The 19,453-nt window shown below is 50.4% G+C and overlaps 1 protein-coding gene across 29 annotated transcripts in view, besides 3 other annotated features; it reads left to right on the top strand.

The window, feature by feature from the left end:
• The window catches only part of ERICH1 (glutamate rich 1), a 116,479-nt gene that overhangs the window by 2,575 nt on the left and 94,451 nt on the right, over nucleotides 1–19,453 (top strand). For all 29 annotated transcript variants that reach the window (XR_007060715.1, XR_007060714.1, XR_007060710.1 and 26 more), the window contains exon 2: nucleotides 12,643–12,789. Coding sequence is in view for 17 of the 29 variants with exons in the window: in XM_047421403.1 (XP_047277359.1) it covers nucleotides 12,643–12,789 (147 nt within the window). In the remaining 12 variants the exon portion in view is untranslated. The remainder of the gene's footprint in view (nucleotides 1–12,642; nucleotides 12,790–19,453) is intronic.
• Nucleotides 4–790: an enhancer, noted in NCBI's record as "H3K4me1 hESC enhancer chr8:677860-678646 (GRCh37/hg19 assembly coordinates)". NCBI's record gives its function as "activates a minimal SCP1, AML or CMV promoter by ChIP-STARR-seq in primed H9 embryonic stem cells {active_cell/tissue: H9 hESC(primed)}" and the evidence as "EXISTENCE:reporter gene assay evidence [ECO:0000049][PMID:30033119]".
• Nucleotides 7,820–8,354: an enhancer, noted in NCBI's record as "H3K4me1 hESC enhancer chr8:670296-670830 (GRCh37/hg19 assembly coordinates)". NCBI's record gives its function as "activates a minimal SCP1, AML or CMV promoter by ChIP-STARR-seq in naive H9 embryonic stem cells {active_cell/tissue: H9 hESC(naive)}" and the evidence as "EXISTENCE:reporter gene assay evidence [ECO:0000049][PMID:30033119]".
• Nucleotides 8,355–8,890: an enhancer, noted in NCBI's record as "H3K4me1 hESC enhancer chr8:669760-670295 (GRCh37/hg19 assembly coordinates)". NCBI's record gives its function as "activates a minimal SCP1, AML or CMV promoter by ChIP-STARR-seq in naive H9 embryonic stem cells {active_cell/tissue: H9 hESC(naive)}" and the evidence as "EXISTENCE:reporter gene assay evidence [ECO:0000049][PMID:30033119]".

Raw genomic sequence — 19,453 nt, 5'->3', positions numbered from 1 at the left:
GGGAAGGGCACTATGGCCTCCATTCTACCCAGGGAGATTGGGTGAATATCTGGCATGTAATTAAGTGCTAGCTCAGGTCGGGCTGTTTCTGGCATATAGGGTAGCCAGCGGTCAGGGGAGCCTGGAGTGGGGTTGCAGTGGACTGGGGAGGCCCCCAGTGTCACAGATCTCCCAGGGACTGCGTGCTCCTCGAGGAAGGGGCCTGCTGCGATGGGTGAGGACCTTAGGAGCTGCCCGGGTGACTCCTGGAAGGAGTGACTGCATCTGGCGTTGACCAGGTTGAGCCTTGCTGCCTCCTCCTCCCTGGACGGTTCCCAGTGCCTGTCAGGACATCTCGTGTTGGTGAGCAGAGCCATACAGGACTTGCTCCTTGCTTCCTTCCTGAAACGCTTACTGTGTCCCTGCTGCCTGGGCGGAGTCTTGCTGTTGGGCTGGCGGAGCCTCCTCCCTGGTGGTTGGTCATTGTGAGGGATTTGGCTCTGGCCCTCTCCCTGACTCCATGTGTGCTTCAGGGACATTTCCGGAGGAGGCAAAGCTTGTGTGGGGTTTGCTTGGCAGAGACGATCCTCAGATGCTGGGGTGAGGACCACAGCCTCATGGAGGCGGGAGCCCCGTCCCAGGGCCCAGCCCTGAGCAGTCAGAGGAGTGCCAGGCTGTCCGGCCGCTCCCTGTCTCCCTGCATGAGGCCTGTCCTCACCGCCTGCTGCTGTGTGTGTGGTGGGAGGATGCGCCCCTGGATTTAAGCAGAGTCCCTGCCCCACAGTGCCCCCTGCATTCGTCTCACTGCACCCTGAGGCCAGTCCTTTGACTCCTTGTCCTGCAGTTTCCCATCAAGGTGGTCCAGTGGTGCCAGCCGCTCGCGTCAAGGAGAGAGCTCCAAGGGCACCATGCTGCTGGCCCGGCCTTGCTGGCCCGGCTGGGCCTTCTGTAGGGAAGGCCACAGAGCCCTGTCCCAGAGGCCTCCTCCTGGTAGGCACCCAGCCTGGTGTCAGCCTGGGGAACATGTGCTGGAGCGCAGGATGCTTGGATGCTTTTTAATAAGAATCCATTCTTGCTGTGACTGCTGCACGCACAGGACAGCTTCACTCGCCCTTGCAGGTGCATCCTCCAGGGCCAAGGGGTCTGCAGCAGGCAGGCGGCCTCTGTCTTCCTGAGACTCCTCAGATGAAGTTGGAGCTGCCAGTGCCTTGCTGTGAGCAGTCACACTTCCTGTTCACCATCTCCCTGTCATCTTCTGGTTTCTCCTGCACCTCAGGGAGTGGATTGCCCCAACTTCACACGCCAGGAATCGCTGGCGCTGTCCACGGTGCTGGCACTGGTGCCAGTTCCTGCAGCTCTGGTAGTCCGGGAGAGATGTCTGTGTGTAGGTGTGGGTCTGTGAGCTTGTGTGTGCATATTGTCAATGTGCATGCATGTATGTGTGCCGCTGTTCCTATGTGTGCACGTGTCTGTGTATGCCTTTGTGCACACGTGTCTGGTGTATGTGTGCATGCATGTCTGTGTGCATCTGTGCAGGTGTGTGTGGTGTGTATCTGTGCATGCATGTGTGTGCCTTTGTGGTGTGCGTGTGTGTATGTGTATGTGTACGTGTGTGCATGTGTATGTGCCTGAGTGGTGTATGTGTGTGCATGCATGTGTGTGCCTGTGTGGTGTGCGTGTGTGTATGTGTATGTGTACGTGTGTGCATGTGTATGTGCCTGTGTGGTGTATGTATGTGTGTTTTGCATGTGGTCTGTGTGTACATGCATGTCTGGGATGTGTGTGTACATGTGTGTGCATGTGTATCTGTGTACATACGTATGTGCCTGTGTGGTGTCTGTGTCTGTGCATGTGTGGTGTGTGTCCATGTGTCCATGTTCATGTATGTGTGTATGTGTACATGTGTCTGTGTGTGGTGTGCGTGTACATGCATATCTGTTTGCCTGTGTGTGCCTGTGTGTGTACATGTGTGTGCCTGTGTATGATGTGCCTGTGTACACGTCTGTGTGTGGCACTTGTGTACATGTGTGTCTGTGTGTTCACCTGTGTCTATGTGCATGCATGTGTGCCTGTGTGTGTATGTGTGTGCGCCTGTGTGTCTTGTGCCTGTGTACACGTGTCTGTGTGTGGTGTGTGTGTACATGAGTGTCTGGCTGTTTGCCTATGTATATGTGCATGCATGTGTGCCTGTGTGTGTATGTGTGTGCACCTGTGTGTTGTGTGCCTGTGTACACGTGTCTGCCTGTGGCATGGGTGTACATGTGTGTCTGTGTGTTTTCCTGTGTGTCTATGCATGCATGTGCGCCTGTGTATGCATGTGCGCCTGTGTGTTGTGTGCCTGCATACACGTGTCTGCGTGTGGCGTGTTTGTACATGCGTGTCTGTGTGTGTCCTTGTGTGGTGTGTGCATCTCCCAGCTGTACCCTGCAACTTGCCTGTGATACCTGCCTCTCCCTTGGAGTCCCAGAGCTGAAGATGCTGGCTCAGATTTGTTTCCATTGGAAAGAGGCCCCTTTTTCTTCTTACAGCATGGCGTTGGTCTGGTTGGGTGCCTGGTGACTCTGTTGGGGCCGACTTTCATTCTGGCCCCGTGTGTGGGACTGTGTGCAGAACTGGACAGGAGTCATTGCTGTGCTGCAGGAGAAGTGGGGCTGTGTTCATTGACACATGTGGCTTTGACATTTTCTACTCAGATGTGGTAGAATCCTTCCTCCAGAACAGGAGTTGGCACCTCTTTTCCCATCTTCAAGGAAGGACAACGTGCTCAGGAGCGCTTCCCAAGTGAATGACTGAATGAATGAACGAAGGAGGGGAGAGAAGAAGGAAGGAATCAGCCTCATGGAACAGGGAGGTTTAGAGAATCCTGGCAAAGGAAGAGGCGCCGTGCCAGCCAGGTCCTGCGGGAGTGTTGGTGCATGGTGAGGTTGGGGGGTGAGGGTCGGCCCCAGCAGGGAAGGGCAGGTGCAGGGATGGCAAGGCCAGAGCACGTGGGGATGAAGAGATGCGGTACTGCGACGGCTGGAGGAGGGTTGCAGGAGCTGCTCAGACATGGGGGCAGCTGCAGTCTCGGCTGCTTGCAGGTTGGGAGAGAGTCGTGCTTGGTGTACAGCTGGAGAGGGAAGTGGGCCGAGGAGGTGGTGGATGCCCAATGTGCCCATCCCTGACGGCTGGCGCCTCAGTGCACAGCAGGCCTAGGTCTCGATGGGGATGGCCACCGAGGTCAGTCCTGCTGGGCTGCTGCCTCAGAGCTCACTCTACTAATGCTCAGGTGGCTCATCTGTAAAGTGGGCGGCAGCACCGTGAGGACCCAGCCAGGTGACCGATCACATGCAAGGTTCTGATGGAGTCACAAGCTGGTCACTGCCGCTGGTCCTGTCCGCTGGGTGCAGTAGACACGGAGGTAGGGGACCCTTGTGCCTGTGAGAACAGAGCAGACAGGAAGCCGGAGAGGACAGCAGGCACGGAAGCCGGAGGGGACAGCAGGCACGGAAGCCGGAGGGGACAGCAGACAGGAAGCCGGAGGGGTCAGCAGGCACGGAGGCTGGAGGGGACAGCAGACAAGAAGCCAGAGAGGACAGCAGACAGGAAGCCGGAGGGGACAGCAGGTACAGAAGCCGGAGGGGTCAGCAGGTGAGCAGGCATCACTGCGTCAGGGTGTGGGACGAGAAACCACAGCACCCGAAAAGGACCACATGGTCCTTCGTGGCTGGCGCAGGGAAGAAGTGGGGTCCAGGAGGCCACAATGGGGCAGCCGTGGCTCCCTCGTGGTCCGGGCCAGGCGGCGTGGGTGCAGGAGGTACAGCTGCTTCCCGGGTTCTGGGTTCCACATCTTTGATAGCGTTCCTCAGTGAGCGTAACCTGCCCGTGCAAACAACACGGGGCTTGTCGGTGTGGAATCCCTTATGGGTTGCAAGTTCTTTGGGCTGAATTCAGGACCTATCTAAGGAAAAAGCCAATGTTTAATGAAAGTGGAAAAAATAACAATATTGGAGTAAAAGGTGTAGTTTATCTGGTGTCTCCTGATTTTCATAAAGCAGCTTGCTGAACGGCCTTCCCAATGACCTCTCAGCGTGTTTTAGCCCAGCCTTGTTTTGGTGAGAAACTGACTCCGAGAACTGAGTGGGCTGCTCTGAGGTCCCGCCCCCGTCGGGGCAGTGCCGGCCTCTCCGGAAGCCCCTGGGCTGCTCGCATCCCGCTGGGTGTGTTTACCAGTGCTTAATGAAAACTATTGCAGCCGCCCGTGAAGGTAAGGTGTTTGTGAACGCTTCGTGATACGACAAATGCTGGTTAAAAAACTACAAGGAGAAACTCTGGGCAAAGTTTGCGTGGAATATTTTCTTTCTTCTCCTTTTTTATTTGTAGAGATCGGATCTCACTATGTTGTCCGGGCTGGTTCTCCAGTAATCCTCCTGACGCAGCATCCTGAGCAGCTGGCCTGCAGGTGCCCGGCTTTCTTCTTTGTTGAAGGGTTAGAGTTCCAGTAGAAAATGATCATTTGGTGTATTTTCACCTCCTACGTGAGGATCCCATGTCAGATCGGTCATGGCGTGAGGTTCTGGTGATGTCCCATTTGAGGATTATTTCTGGTTTGGTGTCGAGCACTTGTTTTTTGTTTTTTCTTTTTGATATTTCAGAAAGCTTGCCCACTTCTGCTTAAGTATTAGCCAATTATTTTTCCATTTGTCATTCTGTTACGAAACTCCTCAAGAATCTACTACTCATTGAATTAACATACTGAGCTTTTCTTTCTTGTGAAGTGATGTAATTCTATTACCAGTTTATTCCTTTATTTCTAGATTATAGTCAAAGGCTAAATACCTTGCCTCATTATAGGGATAAAATGAAAAAAAAATCCCACAGTGATTATCATTTTAAAGAAAGCTGTGGCTGGGCCAGCATATTTTCAGCAGGCATTTAACTTAGTTTTTACTGAAAAAAGAAAATTGAAACAATCAGATTTCCAGAAAATACAATAACCCTAATAAATGTTAAATTTAAAATGCCTATTACAATGAGACAGGCAGATGTAGGATGAAAAAGAGATCAGCTAGAGCTGCTGTTCACTGAGAGAGCAGAATTTGGTATTTTCTCTAAACTGATGAAATAATGTGGTTTGTGTGTGTTTTGTGGTTTTAGTGGAAATGTTTTGAGAGATTTCTCTAATATGACAGGTGAAGGAGGCAGGGAGCAAGCACCTCCAAGCTGGCCATGGTGGAAATTTCTACTAATGATTATTTCTTGTTTGAAAATCTAATCACTTTTCTGTTTGTAAGTCTATTAAGTGGAAACTAAAAAGGAATGTTATAAACTGATTTTGTTCTCTGTGAGTGTTAGTCTGTTCTGCATTGCTGTAAAGGAATGTCGGAGGCCGGGTTATTTATAAAGAAAAGAGGTTTGCTGGGCTCACGGTTCTGCAGGCTGTACAGGGAGCATGGCGCCAGCACCCATTTCTGGTGAGGCCCCGTCGGGAAGCTTCCACTCTTGGGGAAGGCAGAGGGGAGCCAGCGTCCTATGGTGAGGGAGGGAGAGCGGGAGAAGGTGGAGGTCCCGGCCTTTTAAGTACCCAGATCTCCAAGAGCTCATCACCATGAGGTGGGCACCAAGCCATTCCCACGGGATCTGCCCCATGGCCCAGACACCTCCCAGTAGGCCCACCTTCAACACTGGAGCTCACATGTCACCATGGGATTTGGAGGGGACACATCCAAACCAAGTCAGTATGTTTTTCTCCTGCAGTGGCTTTACATTGTAAAGTCACTCGTGAATATTTGTGGTCTCTCTTATTTTAATGAATTCCTGTAAGCATGTGGTCCTATCGGTTTTACAGCTTCTCCTGAGCAGCCACATTTTGAAATAGGTCCTTTTGAACTGATCTCATTCTTCACATTCCCAAATAAGCTGTACACGTATTTTCTCTGAAAGTCACACTTTTCCAACAGACACCAGTTTATAAGGGTGATAGCAAAAGTTTTGAAATTTTAGAGAATCACGAATGATCATTATTTTAATCTCTTCCAGCACCAGGAGTCGCATACCCAACTGTTAGATTTTAAATTCAGCAACTGCATTTAGGAAGAGTTTAGAATTGAATAGGTTCACTTCCAGTGGTCAAACTTTGTTTCTTTGTGAGCTACATATATTTACAGTTTTTCCTAAGTGTGTAATTTCCATAGAACACTTTACTGAAAGATTTTATTGGTATTTGGCTGTGTCTTTTATTTGAAATAGCAAGTGTAGGCAGCAGTCCTTTCTGAGAATTATACCGAAGTGACTTAATTCCCCTGTGAAAGGGACTCATTTCTGCTGGGTGTTGCGGCATGTGAATTTCAGACGGGGTGTTTTTTCTGGGCCTTGGCCTTTTGTTGTTGTGTCTCTCTTTTTCTCGGTGCTGATTGCTTGGCCTGCTTCGTCATTTATTTGTTTTCCTGCAGGTTTTTTTTTTCGATTGGCATTAAACACTCCGTCCTCTGCCTTTTTATTTTCCGGTGATTGCTTTTTGATGGGCACTAGAGTTTCAAGTTAAAACTTGCTCTTGCTGCTGGAAGGGGAGCACGTTGATGAGGTGTGGGAAGGAGAATGGAACCAGCCTCAGGCTTCTGACAGACACGGAGTCGTCGTGACTGCAAGGCATTTTCATTTGGGCCATGCAGCATCGGGGGCTCCGGGAGCTCCTGCTGCACCAGCTGGTCCAGCTCTGTTTTTGTGGGTTCCTTTTGTTTTCAACACATTGTGAATTAAACAGAAAAGAGGCTTTTAACCTCTAACTTGATTTTTGTCAGCCTCTATCTAGAGCTCATAAGCGTACACACACTTAGGTAAAAACACATTGGATCAAAAACGAGCATTTCAACAAACCAAAAATGACAAATGCTTCACTGTGTCCTGGTTATTCTGGAGGGAAAAAACCTTTCGTTTATGTTCTGCTTTTGGTATTAGTCGCGAAGTAGAGCTGGCCCGTTGGAAGACAGGCTGTGTTTACAGAATCGTGTCCATATCTGCAGGAAACCACCAGCAGTCCGTGGGGTCCTTGTGTCATTCCTCTGACGGTTCCAAGAACCAGCAAGGGCATCAGTGCCATGCAGTGTGGTTTTGGTCTAAAACAGCTGATTATTTCTGTGTAAATAAACAGTGTGAGCACTGGTGGTAAAGGCCCTGAGTGCCTGGGCCAGGTGTGTGGGGGCCGCACGCTCGGCGCTTGTCAGCTCAGATGCTAAACCCAAGTGGCGCCGTGTCCGTGAGGTCTCTCCCAGCCCCAACCTCCATGCTCTCATCTCTGGGGCTGGGAGGAAGTGAAGCTCGTCTGTGAATCTGCCAGCAATATTAGCTGGTGGAAAGTAATTATTAATATTCAATTTTGCATTTTAAACTTTGCTCTTTTAAAAACTGATTTTAAAAAGTTAAAATTATATTTTTTAAAAAATACTTTATTATTTCTATTTTAGCAGCTGTAAATATTTAGACATATTATTTGTCAGCAAAGTTATTTTTAGATACCTGGATATTTGTATTAAACTGAGTTAAAATTTATTATAATTCTTGTTGAAGAAAAAATCTCCCGCTTTATAATGAGATATCCATTTTGACATCTATTTGAGATCATCTGTTTTTGTGCCTGTTTACAGGACACTTTATGAGTAATTCATGGGTCATGGATAATATGACACAAAACCAGCCTTTGCCAATATTTAATATCAAAATCATGCTGTAACTCCTGTGAGTGAAGCATTGTGCGGGACGTGCTCGTCTTTTCTGTGACAAGGCTTACCAGAAGTAGCAGGGGTCAGAGTGGCTTCAGGCTCATTCCAGCGAAGGAGCAGATACGGTGACCTCCAGGAGTGTGTGGGCCACTGGGAAAGACGTTTTCCTTCACTAGGTTCTAGAACACCCATGCAACATGGAGCCCCTTCAGCCATAGGGATTCATGATACTTAAACCAGTTTAGCTTAGGCTGCTGAAAGGTTTTCTTTTTGCTTTAGTTTATTTTGACGACCGTGCTCAAGTTTGAATTTGAAAAGGGACATTGTCTTTCCCGTGGCTGTAAACTGTACAGACCTTTATGTGTTGACCGTCGTGAATTAGCACATCCAAATCCCTACGGCCTTCTTCCCACTCCCACCCTCCATATGAAAACTCGGGATTTAAACGTTAAGGACTAAAATTGTATACTAAAATTGTATTGTTTGCTTAAGATTTTTAAGCAGCCTGTTTTCCTGCATTCTTAAGTAGTTGCATGCTCTTCCTGGCATCCTGATTATCCCAGTTATCAGCTTTGTTATCCTGTGTGTCTGTGGCTGACACTGGCGCGGTGCCAGCATGCGTCCTCGTCCTTCATCGTGGGTACCTCAGCGTTCTGCCATCGGTCATGTCCGTGGGTGACGCTGGCGTGGGGCAGGTGTGTTTCCTCGTCCTTCCTCGTGGGCACCTCGGCGTCCTGCCGTTGGTATGTCTGCGCGGCCTGCATTTGCCTCTCAGAGGTCTCATTTGTCTTTGAGGGTGTCCAGGACATTCCTCTTCCTCCAAGTCCTCTTTTGTGCAGAGCAGTCAGTGATTTTCAAGGACTGACATGATGAGATTTTGTGTTCAGAAGACAAGAGGAGCAAGGTGCACGTCTAGGGCCGCGTTCTGCTTTCTAAATGTTGGTCTTCTTGGAGAAGGGGCTGGTTCCAGGCCTAGGCAGAGAAAATACAAGATGAGCCTGCGGTACCTTGTAGGGCCTTGTGTGCTCATGGGAGGGCCGGGTGGGCTGGAGGGCACCAGGTCCATGCTGGAGGGCGCTGGGTCCACACTGCGGTGGACCCTGTGGCCAGTGCTGGGACTATTTGAGCAACAAAGTATATCCGGACAGTACAGGGTGATGGTCCTTGGAACGAATGAAACATCTACGAGTCCTTAAAGTATTAAATAGCACAAAGGTAATAATTCAATACATGTGCAAGTGTGGGCACTTCAGTACAAAATTCCACGTGATAAACATGGAAGGAGTGAGGAAGGAAAGCCACTGAGGAGCCCACAGCGACGTCTGCCACCGCCAGGACCCACCAGCGGATGCCAGAATTAGTGGGTGAGATTGAGGAGGAAAAGGATCTGGTCCCGCGGTGTCTCCTCCACAGTGTTTGTTGGTTATGAAGGAAAGAGAGTCGCTTGGCAGGGAGAAACCCAGCAGACCTCACAGCACCTGCGGGCGACCGCGGGCGTCAGCTGAGAGAAGCATCTCAGCCAGATGTGGGCACCAGCGCCCATCTGCAGTTCTGCAGAAGTGAATGACCTCAGTGTCACCCTGAGAACACTGGACCCAAGTTACTGCAGTTCCAAAAAATAACTGCCCCAAGAGATGTCATGATGGTGGAGTACAAGGAAAATGGGAGAAAAGTGAGGCATGGAGGGTGGATGGGGCAGGATCGGAGCCTGGTCGATGTGGGAGCCCGCTGTTGGATGACGGCTCAAACAGCCAGGGCTGGGGTGGGGCAGAAACCCAAGTTTTCACGGTTGAAACGGCCTCCCTGAGCCTCGCCAGGCCTGGGGCTTTCGTGTGGCAAAGCCCCGAGGGTCGGGCTCTCAGCCCAGGCAGTGGCCCCAGGGCCTGGGCTCCCGGTGGGAGGTGAGTCTGGGACCTGCCTAGGTGGTCTATGGGGAAGCTCCTCAGGAGGGTGTTGGGACATTGGCATGTGCACTGACAAACCGCACAACACACCTGGGTACAGATGGGAGCGCACAGAGAAGCCGCACAATGCACAACACACCAGGGTACAGATTGGAGTGCAATGACAAACCGCACAACACATGGGTCTGCATGGTTCTGGGAACCACCCCTCTCGAATCTGCTCGTGTGGCACCTGAGCAGGCGTGCAGGGGAATTGCAGAAATCCTAGAGGCTGAAGACCCAGAGGCCTTGGGGTTCTGTGGTCCCTGCACGCTGTGCCAGCAGATTGATTCCTGGCTTTCAGGTCGTGAGGCTGGGATCACGTAAATCTCTTCCGAGAGAAATGCCTGTGTTACAGAAGGCGGAGCTTGTGACTCCCAGGGTGGCCTCTGCCATGTCAGTTATCCCTGAGAAACCCCTGTCAGCTGTCACTCTGAATTTAAAGCCAGCTGACTTTACATTGTTCCCGCCTTCTACTTCCATTTTAGAATTTTTATAAAGATTCGAAATGTACTGTACACCTATATCAGATATTTTCATTTGAAACATGAAATTTAACAGTGTTGGTGGAAAACCACTGTTAATTAGGCTATAAATGTAATTTATTTCAGGCAGTGGATGGAATTCAGTGAAAATGCTCCCTACCTTTCTTTTTTTTTAAGGCACATTCTTATTATGTCGCTTTTAGCTCCGAAATCTGCCTCAGGAAGCCTTGAAAGACCGTGACCTGGGGCCAGACTCAGTGCGCTCCAATCCGTACCCTGGTGTGTTGTGCGGTTTCTCCGTGCACTCCGATCCATACCCTGGTGTGTTGTGCGGTTTGTCATTGCACTCCAATCTGTACCCTGGTGTGTTGTGCGTTGTGCGGTTTCTCCGTGCGCTCCGATCTGTACCCTGGTGTGTTGTGCAGTTTGTCAGTGCACTCCAATCTGTACCCTGGTGTGTTGTGCGGTTTCTCAGTGCGCTCTGATCCAAACGCTGATGTGTTGTGCCGTTTCTCAGTGCGCTCCGATCCTTACCCTGGCGTGTTCTGCCATTTTCTTTGGGATCAGCTGCCTTGTTTCAGAAAACTCTGTCATCTGATGCTTGCTTGGGCCCAGCGTCTCCTGGCGGTGGCTGTTTAGTCAGGGCCTGCCCTGGCCTGCCCCCGTCCCTGGGACTGTCTTGTGCCTGCCCAGCCTCAGGCGTTCTGCAGCATTGCCTGGCTCTGACCATGGCCTGGGATTTCTCCATAGCATTTTCCTGGCTCCAGACACTCGCAGGCAGCTGTGCCTGGGGAGGCGACTTCAGCCACATGTCCGCGTTGGCTGCCCCAGGCCCAGCAAGGCTTTAGCTCTGAGCGCCCCTGTCCTTGTTTGCAGAATTGGACGGCTGGTTATGGTTTTGTCTTAGAATTTGTTTTGGCTTATGAAGATGTTGGATAAAGTGCATCTTATCTGCCTACCATCTCCTCTGCTCATCACCAGCTTGGTCATCTGGCACAGGACATTTTCTTCTTTGACATTTGAAGGAAATGTGACCATTGGATTTTTATCTGAAGTCTTGGAACCTTCTTTTGAACATACCTGGGAGCACTGCAGCACATTTTTAAAAGCATTTCACAGACCACCTGTTGCTCCCTGAGAGCCAAGGTGTCTCCGCCGGGCAGGTATGCTTGAGGCAAGGCCTTTCTGTAGGGGTGGGACCCGCTCACCACAGCCAGCAGGAGCTTTTGAGGTATCCTGTGCTAGTGCACTTCTGCATCATATTCAAAATATAGCGTATGGGGACCCTCTCATTGCCAGGACCTGGTGAAGAGCCCGGGGTCTCAGGGATCACATCGTTTCAGTTCAGGTTTTCCACTTAACCAGAGGTCGTTTCCTCCCAGCAAAAGCAGGCTTTGTGCTCACTCTCTGGGAGCCGCGGAGGTGGAGAGTCTGAGTGAGCAGCCACCTTGTTCATGACCACACTGCACCTCACTCCCACTGAGCTCTGTGCTCAGGGTTTTCATGGTCCATCCACGGAGGGCACGGGGAGCTCTGGTGAGCGTTGCGTGGAAACCCACATAGTGTTCTTAACAGCGGGGCCTGTAGGAGGGTTATTTCTATCACGTGTTTGTCCCAGAGGCCAGAATTAGGAAGGATTTGTGCCTTCAGCTACAGTGTTCCCAGGTAGGGCCGTGGAGCCTCCCTGCCTCGCCTAGAAGCCACCCCCAGCGTCTCCTCTCAGGGGGCCTATGACAGATCCCTGCACGCCTCCAGTCAGGCCAAGTCCCTGCCTCCCTGTTCCTAAAGGCACCAGGCAGTTGTTTCAGGAGTGCTGATTTCCACTGTGCGACTTTTGGTTATTCCAAAGCAGCTGCCTGTTTATTAACCACACTTAAATCAGGGCAGAAATATTTATTCATTATGACCGTTTGTCCCACAGTTTAAACAACGTAAACTAAAACAAGCAAAGTAAAGAATCTCTGTTTAGTCGTTAAACCACGTCAGATGCACGGAATTCTCCCCATTCGCAGTTGTTGACACGTTCAGTTTAAGGGAGAGAGTGCAGACCGTGGGTTCCCAGAGGGCGCGGGGTGGTGCCTGCCCTGCCTCAGGGCCCGCCAGACCTGCTCCATTCACTCACCTGGCTCCAAGCACTGTGGGCCACTGACACCGTCCACCCAGGACCACAGCCCCCACTGACAGGGGTCATGGCCTGCATGTGCCTGAACCTCACAGGGAGGAACCGAGGGACCTGCAGCCAGAGGCAGCACCTGCCAGCAGTGCACAGCCTCCTGGATGCAGGGTGATGCCCTGGAGAGAGGGTCAGCTGATGGCAGGATGGTGGGGGGTCCTCGGGCCAGCCTCAAGGGTTCCTCTGCGGGCAGAGTCTGGGGGATCCTGGTGTGCAGTGCCCAGCGTGGGAGGACCAGGGACTTGGGTCTCCGTTGGTGCTTTCAGGATGTGTGTGTTTGTGTAGAGTAAAAGTCACGTGTGATTCAGATAAACTGCATAATTCATTCCTTTTCCTCCTTTTCTTTTAATCGGTTGTCTGTACAGTGTTTGTGGAGAAGGTGCTGCAGAGACTTTTTCCTCCTGTTCCAAGTGGCCAAGGAAAGAGGGAACCCCAGACGCTGGCCGTCCAAAATCCACCAAAGAAAGTGACCTCTGAGAAAGTGAGCCAGAAACATGCTGAGCCTTTGACAGGTGAGTTTGTCTGCAGATGTGGGTGGGTCTCAGAAACTGAAGTTAACCTCCGTCATCATCACTTGCCTTGGAGAATGTGTCTTTTGGGCCTCGGGCATCTGTCTGCAGGTCTGCAGAGGGCCTGCAGCAGGTGGGCAGGGCAGGCATCGCTCTCCACACAAGCTCTGCCAAGGCCCCTGTGGACTCCCCAGCCAAGGCCAGGTCAGGGTGCTGCCTTTTTGGGGTCATTTACTTGTGTGCTCTGAAGATGGCGATTGGACTGAAACTGGGGCTTGGGCCAGCCTTCCTGTCCTCTGAGGAAGACAGGCGCCTTCCCCACCATACACCATGCCCCCAGTCACTGTGGTGGCCCCCTTGGCCCCGTTGGCTTGTGCCCACTCAGGGACAGGCTTCTGAGGTTCTTGTCCCGTGGTCTTTGGCAGACGTCTGTCCCATGACAGCCCCATGTTAAGCTCTTGGTGGCTGCAGGATCATCTGCCATGAGAGTCCCATCAGCTCTGGTCCCTGCAGTGCAACTCCGCTCACCTGTGAGACTGTGAGAGGACCCCGCTGAGAGACACGGGAAGAGACCACCTGGGTGCAGCACATCCCACTGAGAGACACGGGAATAGACCACCTGTCTGCGGCACATCCTACTGAGAGACACGAGAAGAGACCACCTGGGTGGACCACATCCCACTGAGAGATGCGGGAAGAGGCCACCTGGGTGCAGCACATCCCACTGAGAGATGTGGGAAGAGACCACCTGGATGTAACACATCCCACTGAGAGACACGGGAATAGACCACCTGGGTGCGGCACATCCCACCGAGAGACACGGGAATAGACCACCTGGGTGTAAGACATCCCACCAAGAGACACGAGAATAGACCGGCTGTGCGCAGCACATCCAACTGAGAGACGTGGGAAGAGAACACCTGGGTGGAGTACATCCCACCGAGAGATGCAGGAAGAGGTCACCTCTGTGCAGCACATCCCACCGAGAGACACGGGAATAGACCACCTATGTACAGCACATCCTACTGAGAGACGTGGGATGAGAACATCTGGGTGCAGCACATCCCACCGAGAGATGCCGGAAGAGGCCGCCTGGGTGCAGCACATCCCACCGAGAGATGCCGGAAGAGGCCGCCTGGGTGCAGCACATCCCACCGAGAGATGCCGGAAGAGGCCGCCTGGGTGCAGCACATCCCACCGAGAGATGCCGGAAGAGGCCGCCTGGGTGCAGCACATCCCACCGAGAGATGCGGGAAGAGGCCGCCTGGGTGCAGCACATCCCACCGAGAGATGCCGGAAGAGGCCGCCTGGGTGCAGCACATCCCACCGAGAGATGCGGGAAGAGGCCGCCTGGGTGCAGCACATCCCACCGAGAGATGCCGGAAGAGGCCGCCTGGGTGCAGCACATCCCACCGAGAGATGCGGGAAGAGGCCGCCTGGGTGCAGCACATCCCACCGAGAGATGCGGGAAGAGGCCGCCTGGGTGCAGCACATCCCACCGAGAGATGCCGGAAGAGGCCGCCTGGGTGCAGCACATCCCACCGAGAGATGCCGGAAGAGGCCGCCTGGGTGCAGCACATCCCACCGAGAGATGCCGGAAGAGGCCGCCTGGGTGCAGCACATCCCACCGAGAGATGCCGGAAGAGGCCGCCTGGGTGCAGCACATCCCACCGAGAGATGCGGGAAGAGGCCGCCTGGGTGCAGCACATCCCACCGAGAGATGCGGGAAGAGGCCGCCTGGGTGCAGCACATCCCACCGAGAGATGCGGGAAGAGGCCGCCTGGGTGCAGCACATCCCACCGAGAGATGCGGGAAGAGGCCGCCTGGGTGCAGCACATCCCACCGAGAGATGCCGGAAGAGGCCGCCTGGGTGCAGCACATCCCACTGAGAGATGCCAGAAGAGGCCGCCTGGGTGCAGCACATGTGGGCGGGTCCATTCGGTTCCCCAGTAAACACATAAGTCTATGAAGCCAGACGTGGGTTCCTGGGTGCCATTTCTGGGGGTCTCGTTCGTGTTTGTATAGTGGTGGTCTCTCACTGGGCATTTGTTCTCCACGCATTTGTGTTCCTGAGAGCTGCGTGGTCTCTGGTTTTCACACACCTTATAATGGAGCTGCGCACCAGGATCTCAGCAGGCAGGTCCTCGTCATCCCACAAATCACCTTCCAGCCCCACAGGTCAGATCTCCATTGACTCTGAACACATCTTCCCACAGACGTAATATTCTGTGTGGTGATTCCATTTCCAGGCCGGCTCAGAAAGCCTGTCTAACCTGCGATGTGATGAGTGCCACAGACACCGTTCTGGTCAAGGATAGAAGACAAGTGAGAAGGAAAAAGTTCCCTTCACGTCTCCTAGATACGGGGTTACACTAAGCATGCTTTTCCCATGGGACAAATCCGTGTATTCCATGTTCTTTTCTACATTTTTCCCATATGGCTTAATGTTTTCAAATGGTACAAGCTCCCAGTGTAGTAGGATAACGTTCCAATTAAGGAGTAAATGACTGCTTTTGCACATACTTTTGCCATTTAAAGAATATACTTATTATAGGCTGAATTGCGCTCCCCGCCTCACAGCCGCCACCAGCAAATTTGTATGTTGAAGCCCTAACCCCCCATACTTCAGAATGTGACTGTGTTTGGAGATGGGGTCCTAAAGTTGATTAAGGGTCAATGAAGTCGTCAGGGTGCACCCTAATCCAGTATTACTGGTGTCCATATTAGAAGATGAGATCAGGACACACATACGTAGAGAGGCTTGACCCTGTGACAACTGAGAGAGAACGGCGTCTGCAAGCCAAGGTCCAAAGCCAGCCCTGCTGAGACTATGACCTTGGCCTTCCAGCCTTCCGGGCTGTGAGAGAACAAATGTCTGTTGTTGACTTCGCCCAGTCTGTGGGGCTTTGTAGTGGCAGCCCTAGAAAGCTAATGCACTGTCCATTGTGCCTGTTAGAAATTTTCTTGCTTTTTCAATCAGTATAACAAAGTTTTTAAAGAAAAAGCAGGTAATGAAAATCTGAAAGAAGCAACAAAAAAGACTTCTGGAACTAATAAAGGATTATAGTGGGGTTGTACGATACAAAGTTAATACACGGAAGTCAACTGCTTTCCTATATGTCAGCAAAGAACAAGTGGAATTTGAAATTAAAAACACCCAGCACTTTGGGAGGCCAAGGTGGGCGGATCACAGGGTCAGGAGATTGAGACCATCCTGGCTAACACAGTAGACAGTAGAAACCCCGTCTCTACTAAAAATACAAAAAATTAGCCAGTCATGGTGGTGCACACCTGTAGTCCCAGCTACTCGAGAGGCTGAGGCAGGAGAATCACTTGAACCCTGGAGGCAGAGGTTGCTGTGAGCCGAGATCATGTCACTGCACTCCAGCCTGGGCAACAGAGCAAGACTCCGTCTCAAAAACAAAACAAAACAAAACAAAACACGGTATCATTTATATTACCACCCCCCCATAATAAAATATTTTAGTGTAGATCTAACAAATGTGTACAACATCTATATGAAGAAGCTATAGAACTCTGATGAAAGAAATCAAAGAAGACTAAAAATTGAACAGATATTCCATGTTCATGGATAGGAAGACTCGATATTATAGAGATACTCATTCTTCCTAACTTGATATACACATTCAATACAATCCTGATTAATATCCCAGCAAGTTATTTTGTGGATATTGATAAACTGATTCTAAAGTTTAGATGGAGACGCAAAAGACTGAGAATAGCCAACAGAATATTAAAGGAGAAAAACAAAATAAAGGACTGGCATTACATGACTTCAAGAGTTACTTACCAGAAATCTACAGTAATCAAGACAGCGTATTTTTGGCAAAAGAGTAGACACATAGATTAATGGGACAGAATAGAGAGTACAGAAATAGACCCACATAAATACCACTGACTTATCTTTGATACAGGAGCAAACAAAGGCTATTCAGTGAATGATCTTTTCAACAAATGGGGCTGGCACAACTAGACATCCACATGCATAAAAATATAGACACAGACCTTAAACCTTTCACAAAAAAATCTTACTAAAAATGGATCTGGACTGGGCGCGGTGGATCACACCTATAATCCCAGCACTTTGGGAGGCCAAGATGGGCGGATCACGAGGTCAGGAGATCGACACCATCCTGGCTAACATGGTGAAACCCTGTCTCTAATAAAAATACAAAAAATCAGCTGGGCATGGTGGCGGGCGCCTGTAGTCCCAGCCACTCGGTAGGCTGAGGCAGAAGAATTGCTTGAACCCAGGAGCAGAGGTTGCAGTGAGCTGAGATGTTGCCACTGCAGTCCGGCCTGGGTGACAGAGCAAGACTCCATCTCAAAAAAAAAAAAAAAGATCTTACACCTGAGTGTAAAATGCAAAACTATAAACGGTTAGAAGATTACTTGGGAGGCAATCTAGGTGCCCTCGGGTTCAGCAGTGACTTTTTAGCTACAACACCAAAGGCTTGATCAATCAAAGAAAGAATTGATAAGTAGATGTCCAGTTGATAACCTGGACATCATTAAAATTAAAATCTTGTGCTCTGCGAATGACATTGTCAAGAGAATGAAGAGACAGGCCACAGACTTAGAGAAAATATTTTCAAAAGACATACCTGACAAAGGACTGTTACTCAAAATGTTTGAAGAATTCTTAAAACTTAATAAGAAAATGGGCCAAAGATGTGGACCTCACCAAGGAAAATATGTAGATGGCAAATAATCCTATGTAAAGATGTTTCACATCATATGTTATCAGGGAAATGCAAATTAAGACAATGAGACACCACCACATACCTACTAGAATGGACAAAATCCAGAACACTAACAACACCAAATGCTGGAGGAACAAGGACTCTCATCACTGCAGATGGGAATGCAAAACAGGGCAGCCACTTTGGAAGACAGTTTGGTAGTTTCTTACACAACTGAACATACTCTTACCTGTAGGATCCAGCAGTTATGCCCCTTGACATTTATCCAAATAGATGGAAAACGTCAATAAACCTGCACATGGATGTTTATAGCAGCTTTATTCATAACTGCCGAAACTTGGAAGCAACGAAGATGTCCTTCAGTAAGTGAATGAATAAGCAAATTGTGGTACATCCAGACAACGGAAAATTATTCAGGGCTAAAAAGAAATGAACTGTCAAGCCATGAAAAGACATGATGGGACCTTAAATGCTTATTAGTAAGTGAAAGAAACCGATCTGAAAAGGCTACACATTGCAATTCCAACTCTGTAACACTGTGGAAAAGCAAAACTGAGGAGACCCCAAAAAGATCAGTGACTGCCGAGGACTGGGAGGAGCAGGTGGAGCCCAGGGGCCTTGCAGGACGGTGAAACCGCCCCGTACGATGCCGAGGACTGGAAGGAGCAGGTGGAGCCCAGAGGACTTGCAGGACAGTGAAACCGCCCCGTACGATGCCAAGGACTGGGAGGAGCAGGTGGAGCCCAGAGGACTTGCAGGACGGTGAAACCGCCCCGTACGATGCCGAGGACTGGGAGGAGCAGGTGGAGCCCAGAGGACTTGCAGGACGGTGAAACTGCCCTGTATGATGCCGAGGACTGGGAGGAGCAGGTGGAGCCCAGAGGATTTGCACGACGGTGAAACTGCCCTGTACGATGCTGTCATGGTGGGCGCATCTCATTCTGCGTTTGCTTCAACTCACAGGATGTACGAGAGTGAACCGCAATGTAAACTGCAGACCGGGGTGGCAACGTGTGTCAGCGTAGGTTTATTGATTATAAGAATGTACGGCTCTGACGGTGATGATAATGGGGAGCATGTGCACTGTTATGCCTTACAAGAAGCAGGCCATCCCTAACATTTCCTGTTTTTCTCTGAATTTTACTGAACCAACATTTTTAATCTTTTTTAAAATTGTATTTTTAAGGTCGATTTACTTTTTCTTTGTTCTAACCTACCTAAAGTTTTAACGGTGATTGTTTACCAGTAACATATCTGGTGGTAGGAAGATGAAATTAGGTGGGGCAGTTGAAGCTGTATGCATGGATGGATGATGGATCATTCCTAAGTGAAAAAATAATATCTGTAAATTCCAGGCCAGTTTCATTCTAGAAGATATATATTTTCTTGCCTAAAGTGATTGGCTTTTCACTTTTAAGTGGCTGGGTCCATTTGAGTCTGACAAAGCACTTGGCCTTTGAAGTTTTTGGTGATCCTTTGGGTGACGTCTTTTCACAAAGCTTCAGCATTCAGCCACTTCGTTTCAGTGGCATCTGTAAGATACTCTTTAATATGAAGATGTTGAATTAAAAGTCAAAATACTGATGTGAGTTGACCTAGTCTCAAAGGGTAAAAGATTATTTTTCCAGGGAGCAAATGAGAAGGTTGGGTGCACGAGCCTTTTGCTGAACAGTTGGAGCCGTGTCCAGGTGGAGGTGCCAATACAGAATCAGGATTGGTGGGCACACGGAGAAACAGGCTATGGCCCTTGAGGGCTGAACCCCCCAGGGTGAGGGTGCAGATGCTGCCCCTGCTTCGGTTCCCTCGGTGACATGGTCTCACATGTGATTTCTGAGGGTTCAGACTCTGGTCTGTCAAGTCTGATGCCCTTGGGTCAGTTGCTTGGACAATTTAGACCCTTCAATTACAAGCAACCAAAACCACTTGGCCCTGGCTTAAAAGGG

This window comes from Homo sapiens, chromosome 8, assembly GCF_000001405.40.
Source record: "Homo sapiens chromosome 8, GRCh38.p14 Primary Assembly".
Taxonomy (NCBI): Eukaryota; Metazoa; Chordata; class Mammalia; order Primates; family Hominidae; genus Homo; species Homo sapiens.
The sequence above is the reverse complement of the archived record's forward strand: the minus strand, read 5'-3'. Positions and strand labels throughout refer to the sequence as shown.